Source organism: Homo sapiens, chromosome 2, assembly GCF_000001405.40.
Source record: "Homo sapiens chromosome 2, GRCh38.p14 Primary Assembly".
Classification (NCBI taxonomy): domain Eukaryota; kingdom Metazoa; phylum Chordata; class Mammalia; order Primates; family Hominidae; genus Homo; species Homo sapiens.
In genome coordinates this window covers 70,466,159-70,481,656 of record NC_000002.12, presented here as the reverse complement: position 1 = coordinate 70,481,656, position 15,498 = coordinate 70,466,159, and the positions used below count along the sequence as shown (strand labels likewise).

The 15,498-nt window shown below is 43.6% G+C and overlaps 1 protein-coding gene and 2 long non-coding RNA genes across 6 annotated transcripts in view; all 3 read left to right on the top strand.

Annotated features, from left to right (window-relative positions):
* Positions 1–15,498, top strand: part of TGFA (transforming growth factor alpha) — a 106,543-nt gene that overhangs the window by 72,170 nt on the left and 18,875 nt on the right. The gene's annotated exons all lie outside the window — the stretch shown is intronic.
* TGFA-IT1 (TGFA intronic transcript 1) lies at positions 17–14,272 on the top strand. The gene is made up of 3 exons (NR_046798.1): positions 17–72; positions 13,162–13,285; positions 13,961–14,272. It is a non-coding gene; the product is annotated as a TGFA intronic transcript 1 (long non-coding RNA).
* Positions 85–2,059, top strand: LOC107985895 (uncharacterized). The gene is made up of 2 exons (XR_001739532.1): positions 85–1,500; positions 1,594–2,059. It is a non-coding gene; the product is annotated as an uncharacterized LOC107985895 (long non-coding RNA).

Below are 15,498 nucleotides of genomic sequence, written 5' to 3'. Positions count from 1 at the left end.
ATTCTATTGGTCGCACAGACCAGCCCTGAGACAGTATGGGAGGGGACTTCACAAGGCTGTGGATACCAGGAGGTAGGGATCATTGGGAGCTACCTTGGAGGCTGGATGTCAAGGGGAGTTTAGGACCACAAAGACCCAGAGGTTTGGTGGCTGACTATAGAAATGGGAAAGGACTGCTGTATAGAAGAGGGAGACTTATTCTGTGTGGCTTCCAAGGATGGAATTCAAAACAATACACAGAGGTTTCTGGGAGGCAGATGTTAATGTGTTTAAGGAAGAACCTCCTAGCAATAATCTGCCCAAATAGAATGCCAGTACTAAGGCAGCTCATTCTATTTGGGGCAGTAGTACTTAGTACTACCTTAGAGACTGAGCCCCTGAGTACTGGAAGAGTAGAGCACAGGCTGGGTGTCCTCTCCCAGGGACACCATATGCAGAACCCTGACTGGGTAGAAAGTTAGCTGTGAGTACCTCCAACTCTTTGATATTTCACTTCTGGACTAGGGGAGAATTTTGTGAAATGAGACCCTTAGGGCTTCATTTCTTTTAGTTTTGAGGAAAAACAAATTTTTCATGGAACTATGAGGTCTTTGCTTCTGAACCAGTATGGCTTGGAGAAACTATTAAGAGGTAAAATGACCCTGGTGTTTCTGGAATCCCCCAACATTTCTCCTTGTAAGAGCAGAGCTCCAAGTTGCTTGATTTACACTTAGCCCAGGGGATTTAAACCAGGAATTCCCAACTTTTTTATGAGGCAGAGCCTTTAGATCATGGAAGAGGCAGGAATGTTGGCATGGAGTTTTCCTCACGGGGAATCCTGGCACACCTTGGAGAGAGGGAGGGGGGTTGCAGCTCTGGGGGATATTATCCAGGGAAGGCTCAGATATCCACCAACGGAAATCAGTCCACTCTTTGAGCATGCAAAAATACTAGCTGATGCTTTGCTGGGGATTCCCATAGAGAGAACTGAGAATGCACTCATTTTTAAAATAGCCTCATGGAGAAACTTTTTAAGTGGTTGGTGGGGGTGGCGAGGCACTGTTATATTGGTCACCATGTGGGCATATAATGTAGAAAACGTCCATAAGCAAAGGGTTTCCAGGGAAATTAACACTACAGCATACCACGTTTACTCCTCCCTTAGTCCAATCTACCCTTGGACACTCACTGAAATGATCTGTGAAATATGAAACCATTTCTAAATGTATATCAGTACTAGAAGCTCTGAAGAATTTCTGCCAGTGAGCGTGCAGGTGGCAGCCCTCCTACCCTAGTCCAACAATCACTCCTCTGGAAGACAGGATTGTCAGGAGCAGAATCACCCAAACAGCCCAACCTTGGAAGGCCAAGGTATGAGGGTGAGGGCAGGCCATCTGGATCCTGCCAATGCCTTAAGAAAGGACACAGTCAAGGCCACAATAAGTGACAAACTCAGTCAGCTCTCACTACTGGCATGGCATGAATGTCTGGAAAACACAGGGGAAAAGAGAAAACTCTTTGGTGTGTACCTGTTGTCTCCTGCTTCTACCAAATAGATTTCTTAGGTATTTGAAGGCGCTACAGTTAAACTTCCCCTTTTCTGTCTTTATCTAGCCCCAAAATATTGAATAGGGCCATTGTCTCTGTTGAAGCCCAAATTAACTCCCCATGATGCTACACGAAAGCAGATCTTTCTCTGTAAAGATGATGATGCAAGAAATCGCTGGCCACAAGAAAGGATTTCATCATATGAGAAGATTTTTTGAGGAATTTCAACTAATGCCTCTATTCCTAAGAAATGGGTAAAGATATTGAATAATCTAATTTATGTCTTCAAGACTGAAGCTGACACTGCATCTATGAAACAAGTAAGAAACAGCTACAAAGAGATGACAGAATATGGTGACCAATTTTAAATCCATAATACACTAATGAGCAGAAGATTAGATATCACAGTAAAGTCAGTAATTTTTTTTAATGGGCTGGAAAATTTCTCCCAGAACTCAGGACTGAAAAACAAAAATAATGAGAAAAAAAGGAAAAAAGGACCCGGTGATCCAATATACAGATAATTCCAAAAGGAAAAAAGAAAACTAAGGCTGACACAATCATCAAAGATCATTAAAGAGAACTTTCTTAAGCTGAAAAAGACTTGTCCTTAAGATTGAAAGCATTAACTTCAGGGTAATTTAACCAGTTCTCATTGCAAAGAAAAGGTCTTATAAGCACTGAAGTGAAAATAAAAGCAGGTTACAAAGGAATATAGTAAATCTAGCTTCAGTTTTTTCATCAACTACAAGCCAGAAGTCAGTGGTGGGAGGCCTATGGGGTCCAAAGCTCATGACCCAAGTTGTCATTCATATGCAAAGCCATGTACATGAATGAAACACAGATGTTCTCAGACATATAATATTTCGTTATATGGATATACTTTTCACATGCCCTTCCTGGAAAAAATGTCCAAAGAGCCTCTTCAACTAGATAACAGCTATATCAAGATAAAAACCCCCAAATGGGGAGGATATAATTTTTTCAAAACCAGCGATAATGTGTCCAAGCAACTGTTGTCAGTTTAGTTATACTAGTACAGATGTCAAAATTAATTACTGAAATATAAGTTTTATATATAAAATAATGAGGATATGAAATCAGATGACAAATAAAAACTGGTAACTGGGAAGAAAAAGAAGGAGGAAGTAAGCATGCTAATTTTTTATCAAATGACACATCAAATTTCATTTTTAACATTGATAATTGAGAAAATAAACTAAATTTTTTTAAAATGTAAACAAATTAAAAAGAGTATTTATATTCTAAATCACCACAAAAGGGGAAAGAAGTCAAAGAAACATGATCTTTTATACAAAAGACAAAAAAGGCAACCTACTAAAAATAATAAGCATTTGTAAAATGTTTTCTAAACACAGGTTATTTCTTCTCAGTGATAAGACAGCAAGTCATTTGCTTAGGATATTTGTATTTCCAAAAATTATACAATGAAGATGCATAACTTTTAAATAACAAATTATAAAATCCCTTGTGGGGGCTGTTATAAAAAGTTGTTTGATGTGTAACACATTGCCAGTAAAACTAAAGAATGGATGGATGAGAAGTTCCCAGTTATAACAAGATATGATCAAGATATTCTGGGCCAGGATGGTCATGCTTTTTTTTTTTCCAGTGGTATCGATTTAAGATTTTGCAGCTGGTGAGATACATGATCATGGCCATTTGGAGAACTGTAGGGCATCCATCTTCTATGTCAAGAAGATTGATGTTATAGTAGTTACCATGCTGTCCTGCCTTGGCGATTTCTGCCCAGAGGGTTTTGAGAATGCAGTATATTTGCATCAGCTGTATAGCATTTCCATCAAAACAGTTGTGCCCTGCCTGCTGTCAATTGTGGCGGCACCATTTTATATTTTGTTTTATAGAGTTGCAGAAGCAGCCTTTGCCCCATCCACACTTTGTTCAATTACAAAGCTGATCTCACTCCTCACCCCAAAAGACTGTTACTACTCCTGGAGAGGTTTGTGAAGGTCGACCTGATCCCTCCAGGATGGAGAACGGACAGAACAGACCTTAAGCTGGGGACCAGGGTTTCAAAGTGGAGCCTCCCAATCAGGGCCAGATTGACTTCAGATTGTAAGCACAGGGCATGTTGATGTTTGGATGAGGCTCCCAGAAGAGACAGAGAAAGAGAGAAAAGGATATGATTTATTGTGAGGATTCATCCCACATCAGAAATTCTCTAACCAACCCCTAATGCCAGACTTCAGGCTTGGCATTAGAGTAACACTCCCTGCTGTAACAGATAAACCCTGAATATTGTTTATTTCCTGCTCATGTCAAAGGCTCTGCAGGTTTTCCTGGCCCTGCAGACTTCTTTCCATGTGCTTATTCAAGGACCCAGGCTTCTTCCATCCTGTGGCTCCTCCCTCCTCCATGTCCTGCAGGAGCCTCTCTAATCAGACAGCAGCTGGGAAAAGACAAAGGGAGGTCACACCGGGAGGTTCTTATGGACCAAGCCTGCAAGTGGAGCATGTTACCTCTGCTGAGATCCACTGGCCATATATCCTGGTCACATGGTCACACCTAACTGCAAGGGAGGCTGGGAAATGTAGTCTCTATTCTCAGGAGAAAAAGGACTTTGGATTTAGGGGAACTCCTGGGAGTCTCTGGCCCACACTTTATCTTTTGCATATTCCCTGCCTCCTTCAGAGAGCAGTTTCCCAGCTGAACTCTTTCAATTAAAAGAAAAAAAGTGACATAAGTATAGTGGTTGGAAATGGATCAAATAGGCTGTACTCTTTTGGGATTTTGTTGTTTATGGTAGGAGTGTGTGAGGTTTCTGTCCATAGAGACCAAGCCCGAGGTCATCTCTTACCAAACATCTTTCTTCTAAGCATCTTCTGTCTTCTCTAAATGATTATTTTGTCTCCTTCCTCCTTCTTCCTTTTTATTGATAAAACATGAGGCAGTAACATGATTTTTCTTGTGCAGATTAAATCTAGATTCCTCAAGGCCAGTCTTCTATAACACTACAATTCTGTCTGTGAATAAAACACTAACAATAAAAATTGGTTAAGCTTTAACTGTGTTTATAGTGTTATGGGGTTTTAATTTTAAATGGTTGTGTTCAAACTCTAAAATGCTCACTTCATGAAATTCGAAAATTTATAAAAAAAAATAATTGCGTATAATTCGACCACTCTCTTACATCTCAGCTTCTTTCCTCTTGAATATAATCTTGATTGAAGGGCTTTTATCTAAGGACAAGCAAAATCATCTGTACAAAACTCAGAGGGAATAGGAAAGAGAGTCACATCTTTGTCATGGGACATAGTCCCAACTACAAATTCACTTCTATGTTTTTAAGACTGTTGAGCTTTGCCTTAAATTTACCTCTGTATTCTTCAGTTTCCTCACTTAAAATGAGGAGTATCCTTCTTCCACCCACACGGCATCTGCAAACTGCCGATGAAAAAAGGCACCTGTCAAAAGTTCTGAGGACATAAAATGTTCTAGAAAAACAATCATCCCAATAGCGCTTATATGTGCTCAGTGTAGAGGGTTTAAGGGGATTATGGTTCAAAGACTCAACAAGAGGAAGCATTTTTTCCTAAGGGTGGATTGAGAGTTTCCTGCCAACCACTTTACCTAACAATTTTGATATTTATAAGGAGAATAGAGGCACACAGAGACTGCAAAGGCAGGTAGCCCTGGGCTCTAACGGGGCTGTTCCTCCAACAAAGCCAGAACAGAATTCCCCATCCAGCAGGACTGGGCTCCAGTTCCCAGAGCCATTCACATTCTCGTTCAAAGCCAGCTGATGAAAGCCAAACATAAACCTCCTTGTTTACCTTGTGAATGGAACTTGGAAGTAAAGTATTTTCCAAATGCTGGTTGACACCAAGAGGATGTAATTACAATAAGGGGCTTTCTGGTTTGAAGAGATGAAAGAAGGAAATGATTTGTCTCTTTGAAATCAAATTATCACATATTAAAAGAAAAGGGGGAGGCTTAGCTTCCAGTCCTCAAAGCAAAATCGTGACCTGTAATTTTCTTAATTTTTTTTTTTTTTTTTTTTTTTTTTTGCTTAAAATTACTAAGACCAAGGTAGTAGGGATAGAAGAAGCAACCTGGGAGCTGGAGAAATGGGGTCATGAGGAGGAAGAGGAGCTTAGTGGCAGAGAGTGTGATCTTCGTCCAGTATATTTCCTGTCTATTTCCATTGCATTTTAATCCATAATGAATGTAGAATGGTGATTGGCAGGCTGCTTGTGGAGTCTCATACCTGCCTCTCTCCTCCTTGTGCCTTTTGGGGGAGGTAGTGGTCTTCCCAGGGGGAGTCGGGGTACAGGTAACAGGCCAAGTTGAAATATGTATGTCGTGCATCTTTGGATGGATACAGTCTCTGGTTTTAGCCTGCACTTAACATGATTCCACTGAGGTTTTATTTTAATTTCCCAAAGCCTCTTTGCTAATTAAAGCCATTTGCCTTGGGACTCTTAGCCCTTTTAATTCTAAAATGCCCCTAAATTTTCCTGGTAATTCCTGATTTGTTATTTTCCAAATGAGAGTCATCTTGAGTGTGTGGAAGATGCCCATAAGGACTTCTTAACTCTCAACTCTCTCTCACACACATCCACACACGCACCATGCCCTCTGAAGTGACAGTGTGCTGTATTAGAAAGGGCGAGAGCTTTAGAGGAAACCAACCATGAGTTCTGGTTTCCGCTCTGCCATTTGCTGACTTCGCATCATTGAACAACTTTAACCCCCCTCAGCTCCACTTTCTTCATCTGTAAGATGAGATAGTGAGGATTTCCTTGCAAGATTTTTGTGGGGATTAAATAGAATTCGCTCTATAAAATGCTGGGCATAGCACTTGCAGTAGGTGGACAATCCAATAGTAGCTGCTCCTAATAATAATGTCATCATCATCATAGTCCAACCTCAGAAAATTCTACATTGGGTTAAAAACTCTAAGACCAGGTACTTTAGATAAAATTGAAAGCTGGCAAAATACTTCTGTGTTCATGTTATCTGATTTTCTTCTCCCTGTTGGAAAATGAAAAGGTACCAAAATGATGCAAACTCTGCTTTTGCCTTCAAAGTAAGCATGATGAACCCCACTGGGGCTTCTCTGACTCTATCTTTTTTCCCAGTACACACACACACACACACACACACACACACACACACGGCTGCTGTGTTATCAATAACCAGTATCTTTGTAGGAAAGTAGAAACTAAATTGTGTGTTTCTTTACCAATATCTTTGTTTGAATTTGGTTCCATCACATCTGATGCCCCTTGGGTTTTTCCCAAAGGGAGAAATGGTCAGAGGGAATTAAAATGGCTCAGATGTTCCCTTAGGTTTCCCCTACAGCATCTTGTTTGAAGCTGCAAAAGCAATTCAGAAGTCCATCTTAGGCCTGCTCTGAGCTCCTGGACAAGAGCACTGTGTAGCCCAGAGGTTCCTGCCCTTAGTGGAAGGCCTGATAGCATCTCATGTTCCAGCCACCACCCTACTTCCAGCAGCTCCTCAATTAACCATCATCCCTGGACATGTAGAAATCTCTTTTGCATCTGTATTTTCAACCACTGCTCCCTTGTGAGAATAATAAGTTCCATATGTATAGTTCCCCACTCCTCCCCCAAATAAAGTAATACTTCCTCTTGTTTCTCCTGAAAGTGCCCCTTTCTGATTACTAGAAGATGTTCACTAGTTAAGTGTTCCCCTTCCTCACTGCCAGCGTGATTTGTGGGTTGGGATCATGTGCCTTCTCAGCATTTGTCTTTCTGGACTTGAATAGCATCCTAATTTTCTATAGCTCTTCAGTATCTCAATATCAGAGAAAACTGAGATCAAATTTCAGTTCTACTACATTCCAGCTATATGTCCATTGACAAGGTTATCTAAGCTTCAGTTTTGTTTTCTTATCTTAAAAATAGAGACTAATAATGCTAACCCCACAGGGTGCTTTTGATGTTTGGTGAGATAATATGGAGTCTCTGCCCTTCAGTGGGGATGGAGGGGTGGGTAGGATCTAAAGTCAGTGTATGATCAGGGAAAGTTAAAAAGCAAATAGGGTCAGATTTGGTCAATATTGGAAAAGATCACTGAAGAATTAGGAGATTTTTCAGGGATTATGTTATAGGAAAAATATGTTCTCTTTTAAGCATAGGAGTTCTCTCAGTAAATTGTGAATCTGGGGTTGGGGAATGATAGAGACAAAAATGGCCCTGCCCCACCCCACCCAGCTGAACAAGTGGAACAGCAAGAGAACTGTAGCACTATAGTTACCTTTCTCTCTTTCACTGCTTAACTACAACGAAGGCCCCTTCCCTCTTAAATGATGGTACTGCAGGCTAAACTCTGTTTTCAAATGGTTTTATATCCATCGTTTAAAAGATAGTGATCTTGGGTTTAATAATGAATGAGTTGCATAATTATATTTATCTCATCTCCACCATCCCACACACCCCCCTCTAAGACAGCAAAATTGAATTCCCCTCATTAGTTGGTAACACTTGAGATCAATTTCCTACTGTAAATGTGACAGGGATTCCCTTTCCGTAACTCTGCTGACATCCGCTGCTCATTTGAAAACCCTCTTGTTCTTCTGCCTGCACACACAGCCCCAGGAAATGCCCCTGTCGATCAGTTTCCTTGATAGGGCATTGCTCTCTCTGCAAAGGTCAGTAGCATTGCCACACTAGATGCTGACAGTGCCCTTCCTCTTCGGGATCATTCACAAAAAGTAAGAATTATTCTCACCTCCCCCCACCTGCCCAGGGGAGCAGGATCCCTGCTCACCAAGTCTCTCTGGGCAGCCACTGGGTTCTAGACCATTTACTTCTCTAAGCTCTGGCTTAGCAGTTCTGCCACCCGAGTGTAAGCCTCCGCACCAGCCTCTCCTTCACTCCATAGCTGCTTTTGCAGGTTCACGCATCACCTCCCAAGCTTGGAGTTCCACCCTTGTAAACTGGGCCTGCTGCTGCCCTGAAGCCAGCCTCCCATCCCAGAGCTGAGTCCAGAGCTTTGGGTGACTCCAGCCTGGCCTCAGGGTGGAATGGAGGCCTTGATACCTGGGAGTATCAGATTTATACCCCCCGCCAGCTTCCCCAGTAGCTACTGCTGACTCCCATCTTTACTAAATTAATCTACTGCCTTTTCTCCTAGACATCCAAAAAGTATTAGTTGGCTTTGCCATTGTAGTATCTGAAGACAAAATATTTAGTCCCAGGTCAGAAACTTTGGCTGAAAGTTCCTACTAAAAAGCCAGACGTCATGATTAAATTGTTAGAAAGTTAGCCATGATATCTGAGGAAGTTATGAAATGGCTGTAAATGATGTAAGCTCTGCAATGGGCAAACGTGTTCACAACTTTTGACATCTGGGGAAGAGAGTTAAGAGCCACAGGCTCAGCCGGCTCCCGCTGACCAGCACAGCATGAAGTCCAATTAGGGCTGCTTTTAAAGGGGGTGATTGCGCTCAGGGGTGTGGATGCTGCTCCCAGGGGAGCAGGGCTGTTGGGAGGAGCTGTCCAGATGGCTGTCTCCCTGGCTCCTCTGAACTACGGAGACCCCTCCTGTGAATTGGATGGGGGATTTCCCTGCCCCTCAATTGCTATTCCAGACCCTCTTCCTGTAAGTAGGGTTGGGCTCCAGGCCCTGTTAGTGGGTCTGTGGTCTCTAGGCAAAGCTTTCACAGCTTCCCCAGAGAGCAGTGGTGTCTGCAAGATGTGCGTTTGGTTAACATGCTGGAGGGGCCTCTCATAAATTTCATGGCAACAGGAACTGAGTGGCTTTGAAACTCCAGCTGCTGGTGGGCTCGATATGAGGTCTGTTCCAAAACCTGGAACATTTGCTTTTCCTATCGTCAGCCCCAAGTGCTACTCAGACTTGGTGTCTGGAGGAGATGGGCCAGAGTCCTGGGGGCCAGTGCCAGTCCTTCTCTGCCCTCAGCTGGCACATCTTGGGGAGACTTTCTTTGGATATTCCCTGCTGGCCTTTGCCACCTTCCTTTTCTAAGTGATTCTTTTTTTAAATTTTAAGTCTCTAGGCCTTTCCTTCCCTCACTCGCTATTTTCTTGAATTTCCAGAAAAAACAATAGAGTGGGAAAGGGAGAGTGAAGGGAGATAGAGAAAAAAATAGGGGGAGAGAGAGAAAAGCAGGAAGAAAAGAAAGAGGCAGACTCTGAGAGAGAGGCTGAGAGAATCATTCTTAGGAAAGATACCAGGAATTTGGGGGGTTCCTTGTAATGCTCATTTTTATAAAATAACTGGAGGCAGTTTTGCCCCCCAAGGAGGAGATGGTACTCTAAGTTACTGAGCAAACCCTTGCCCATTGACAAGGTTGTCTAAGCTTCAGTTTAGTTTTCTTATCTAAAAAATGGAGACTACTTAGGTTAAAGCAGGCCGCCTACCCTGCCTCGACTTGGCGGATGATGTAAGGAAAGCCCCCAGCACTTAGCAAGCACTCAATAAGTGACATCCCTGTCCCTGCCCTCCCCTACCTTCACCAAAGTGCCTCTCATAGGAATAGCCTTGTCTGCCTGGGCTGACCCTGCCCTGGTATTTGGGGTGTTCTTTGCTGAGTCTGGGAGGATCTAAGACAAACACCTTTAAAGGCCCTCAAATGAGAACAGTTACTCCGCCCTCACTTGTTGGAGATGGCTTTAGTAAAGCACATCAGCTCACGAGGCTCGTACAGCACCCTAGGGGCGCACAAGCCCCAGTGCTGCCCCTCCTGGAGCTGGCTCATCCTAAGGGTGCACAGGAAGAGCAGAGTGGTCACAGTGTGGCTTGCCCTTGGGACTGTGGTTTGACCCACTCCTCCCTGTCCACTTAGGTCTCAAGTGTGAATCACATCCCCTATCAGAAAACCTGTGACAAGCTACAAAGCTGCCAAATATGCCAGTGGAAGAGGAACCCGTTCTGCACATGGTGCACATTGAACTTCCTGGGTGGTGGGGGCAGGACAGCACCCTGCGCAAAGAACCTCGAACTTGAATTAAATGCTTGTTTTTAAGAAGTTTGGTTATATGGTGGGGGGGGTGCGGGGAGGAGAATGCACGTAACAGAATAGAAAGAGTAAGTTTAGGTGCATGTTCGTGTGCAGTGTATACTTACATGGTTCTCTCTACATAGTGGATTACAGATGGGTTTTATTCTCTAATATGGTACTTATTATATATTGATTTATTTTAATTTCCTAAAAATATGTCACTTTTGTAATGAGAAAATGTCTTGAAACTTTTGAAAAAGTTTCAAGAGTGAATGTATCATGGTTGTAGTCAGGAAAAGGGTTTTTTTTAATAAACAACCTTCTAATGATAATCCACTAGCATCAAGCTCCCTTCATCCTCTCTGCCCTTTGGGCTGAGGCAGACAGGTGGAATTATGGAGGACCAGGAACTTGCACTCTAAGCCTCAGGCTTGTTTCCACTCTGGTCTCTGAATACACAGAGCGAGACCACCACATGTCATCTGCCATCACTGTTACTGTTGCATGGAGCTTCTTCACAGCTTGGACTCTTCTGGCTTCTTAGTGAGCTGTGTGAAGTGAAAGAACTGATGGTTTACACGGGCAGATGCTTCTTTGGGAAATTGTTCAGGATGTCATCCACCACAGCACATGAAGTCCCCTTCAAAAACACCCGCAGAAGAAGAGAAGTTGCTCTCTGACCGTTGCTCTCCAACCACAGACTTAGGGAAAGCTGAGCCTGTCCAGCTTGTGCAGAACAAGTATATATATTCCTATCTAATGAACCTTATACATCCTTGCTAAGACTGCCAGGAGGCATAGAGTTAGATTTGTCCCTCAGCTTTGGCATGTGCGTGTGATTTTCTGATATCCATCTTTGTGTATTAACCTGGTGCCTGTTTTGCTCATTGCTGCTCCTTACCCTTACTTTCCTTTGTCCCAATCTCTCCTTCCCTCTCTCACTGCCCGCCTGTCTGTTTCTTCCTGTTTCCCTCCCTCCCCTCTTCTTCTGTTCCTTCTCTCTCTTATCGCTCTCATAACCCCACCCCGTCTCTCTCTACTCTCTGTCTCCCTTCCTGTCTCCTTCCCTCCTTCTTCCTTTTTATGTCCCTCTCTCCCGTCTCTCTCCTTCTCGCTGTTTCTCCCACACACACTTGTTTCTCGTTTGCATTGCCTTTTTATGGTACCTATTTTTATAACACCACCTCATGTCATTTATAAAAAGAGGCAAAGGTATCCATCAATAGGGGTTAAATGAGACCATAGCAGAGTCCACCCTTCACCAATCAGTTTTAGAGAAGTGTTCCAAAACAGATTCCAAGTTTTCTCTTTCTTTGTATTTCTACTGACCTAATACTTTACCACGAAGAACCTCAGCAGATTTCAGGCTTTAGAGTCACACAGGAGTTTGAAGAGCTGGAAGATAATCAGCTCCAAAAAGGACCCTGGCCTTTCCACTTTTGCAAGAGCCCATTTATCCTTTGCTTCTGTGTAACACAAGCCTGCGTCTCAAACATTAGTGTGCATCAGGATCACCTGCAGGGGGCCAGACGTGGCGGCTCGCACCTATAATCTCAGCACTTTGGGAGGCCGAGGTAGGCAGATCACTTGAGCCCAGGAGTTCGAGGCCAGCCTGGGCAATGTGGTGACACTCTGTCTCTCTACTAAGATACAAAAATTAGCTGGGTGCAGTGGAATGTACCTGTTAATCCCAGCTACTCTGGAGGCTGAGGTGGGAGGATTGCTTGAGCCTAGGAGGTCAAGGCTGCAGTGAGCCATGAACGTGCCACTGCACTCCAGCCTGGATGATGAAGTGAGACCCTGTCTCAAAATAAAAATATAAATTAATTAATTAATTAATTAATTACCTGCAGGGCAAACATTACAGTATAGCAATTCTATTTCAATAGGCCTGACTTTAAAAAATCACCTAGCAAGTTTGTCCCACAGATTTCTGGGCCTCACCCCAGAGATCCTGATTCAGTAGGTCTGGGCTGGGTAGGGGTGGCAGGCAAACTCAGGGGAATGTGAAGCTGTCTGTCTGCAGATCACACTTGGAGGAACCCAGCCCAAAGCCCTGACAAAGGGACTTCCTCTAGCCACTTGGAGGTGGTGGTTTAAACGGCCTTTTGTGGAGCCTGTCAAAAGCCTTTTTGAACATGTACATCAAATGAGATCCACTAGCCCAGCAGCCCCCAACCTTTTTGACACCAGGGACCAGTTGCATGGAACACAATTTTTCCACAGACTTGGGAGAGGTGCTGGTTTCAGGATGATTCCAGCTTGTTACATTTATTGTGTACTTTATTTCTATTATTATTACATTGTAATATTTAATGAAATAATTATACAACTCACCATAATGTAGAATCGGGAGGAGCCCTGGGCTTGTTTCTCTGCAACTAGACAGTCCAATTTGGGGGTGATGGGAGACAGTGACAGATCATCAAGTATTAGATTCTCATAAGAAGTACACAGCCTAGATCCCTCACATGCACAGTTCACAATAGGTTTCCCGCTCCTATGAGAATCTAATGCCACTGCTAAACTGACAGGAGGCGGAGCTAACGTGAGCAATGGGAAGTGGCTGTAAGTACAGATGAAGTTTTGCTGCCTTGCCGGCCTGCATTGGCCTCTAGAGTCTAGCCCCTTCATCTCTCTGTGTTTGTTCCTTGACAAGTTCAGTGAGCACAGAGAAGCCAGTTATGCAAACTACAGCAGACCCTTCCTGTCTCAATTCAGCATCCAGCGTCTACTGTTAGCCAGTGACTGGGCCTGTTCCTCAACCACTCAAGCCAAGCACATGCAGGTGACTGTAACCAGCCCAGGCAACTGGACCCAGCAGTCCTGCAGACTCCTGCTCAGAGGAGGGTCCAGCAGCCCCAGGTCGATATCTCCACCTGGCTTTGGGCTTCTCTGCTTGTCCTCATGTGTGAAAGACAGTAACTGTCATTAAGGGCTAAAGGGGACACTTGGACTTTTAGTTATACCTCACTGAATGTATGGGGGGATTACTTACTGTAGTGGTTTTATCACGTGGATATTCATTCATATCTTGGGATTGTCAGTGGTGACAACAGGAGAGCTAACAGCTGAGTGTCATACCAGACAATCTCTTGAGTACAGAACTTAACAAGCATTACCTCATTCAACCGCAGAGGACCAAGGAGGCAGGGGGACCCGCTGTCTTGTAGCTGCAGAGGCAGGCTAGGAGAGGCCAGCTGCTTCAGGTGGCAGAGGCAGGATTCAAACCCGTGCCTCTGACTGCAAAGCCCATGTTTTTAACCACTACACAATGTGTCTCCTTCAATGTCAAGGATTCTGTTGTATTTTTAGCCTCTGCTTTTCCCCCCTGGAATTATGGGATTTCTAAAATGATGACACTTCTAGAAGCAGCTCATGAATAGAAAGATAGCAACAGGAGTTTAATATTTAGTGATGGTCTAAAATCTCCCAAGATATTAAATGTTCTGTCCTTTCTCAGAGAGCAAGAGCTCCAGGAACATGGATTTTTTTCCCCAAAAAAACTAAGTGGGCAAGACTCACTCCTGAAATACCCAAAATAGAAGCATAAGAGGACCTGTTGAAAGAAGCAGTGGAGACTATATCGATGGAGCTGTCTTGAAATAGCTACATACCATGCCTCAAATTTACTTTGGACAAAATGGGAGTGGAAAAAAATAAGCCCAAAGTGCTGCCTGGTCAGCAGGTCTGTTGTGCATGACGGTGCTCCTGAATTGGCTGGCTATTTTTATTCCTGTCTGAAAGCCAGGGATGGAAAACCCTGAGAGGTTTGGTGACCACCCCAAGCTCGTGAGAGTCATGGTACTAGGGCTCTGAGTAGGACCCATCTCAGCCCCTACTCTGCTCTTTTTCCTCTCTCCCCATTATGGGAAAGAGAAAAGAATTTCCCAACACTGACTGTGCTGCTCTCATATGGGTTTCTTGCTTTAAGTAATCTTTTTTTTAAAATTATTTAATTTTTTTAAGTTCCAGGGTACATGTGCAGGATGTGCAGGTTCGTTACATAGGTAAACATGTGCCATGGTGGTTTGCTGCACATAACAATCCATCACCTAGGTATTAAGCCCAGCATGCATTAGTTCTTTTCCCTAATGTTCTCCCCCAACACCCTCCCCCAAAAGGGTATGGGGGGAGAACACTCCCCCCACACTCTCCCTGTGTCCACGTGTTCTCTTTGTTCAGCTCCCACTTATAAGTGAGAACATGCAGTGTTTGGTTTTTCTCTTCCTGCGTTAGTTTGCTGAGGATAATGGCTTCCAGCTTCATCCATGTCCCTGCAAAGGACATGATCTCATTCCTTTTTATGGCTGCATAGTATTCCATGGTGTATATGTATTACATTTTCTTTACCCAGTCTGTCATTGATGGGCATTTGGGTTGGTTCCATGTCTTTACCATTGTGAATAGGCCTGCCACGAACAGACGCATGTGTGTATCTTTATCATAGAATGATTTATATTCCTTTGGGTATATACCCAGTAATGGGACTCTAAGTAATCTTTATAGCCTTATCACTCCTAATCCTACCAAGAGAAGCCCTGCTACCATCTTAGTGTATGTCCTTCCCAGACTCCTTCATGTCTAATTTCTATTTGTGTTGGGTTTTTTTGGTTTTTTTGTTTGTTTGTTTTTTTGGTTTTTTTTGAGACAGAGTCTTGCTGTCGCCCAGGCTGGAGTGCAGAGTGCAGTGGCACAATCTCGGCTCACTGCAGGCTCCGCCCCCCGGGGTTCTCGCCATTCTCCTGCCTCAGCCTCCCAAGTAGCTGGGACTACAGTCGCCCGTCACCTCGCCCGGCTAATTTTTTGTATTTTTAGTAGAGACGGGTGTCACCGTGTTAGCCAGGATGGTCTCGATCTCCTGACCTCATGATCCGTCTGCCTCGGCCTCCCAGAGTGCTGGGATTACAGGCGTGAGCCACCGCTATACAGACAATACTGGAAACCCATTTACTTAACTTACTGTATATCATAAGCACCTTTTTGCATCATTAACTCTTC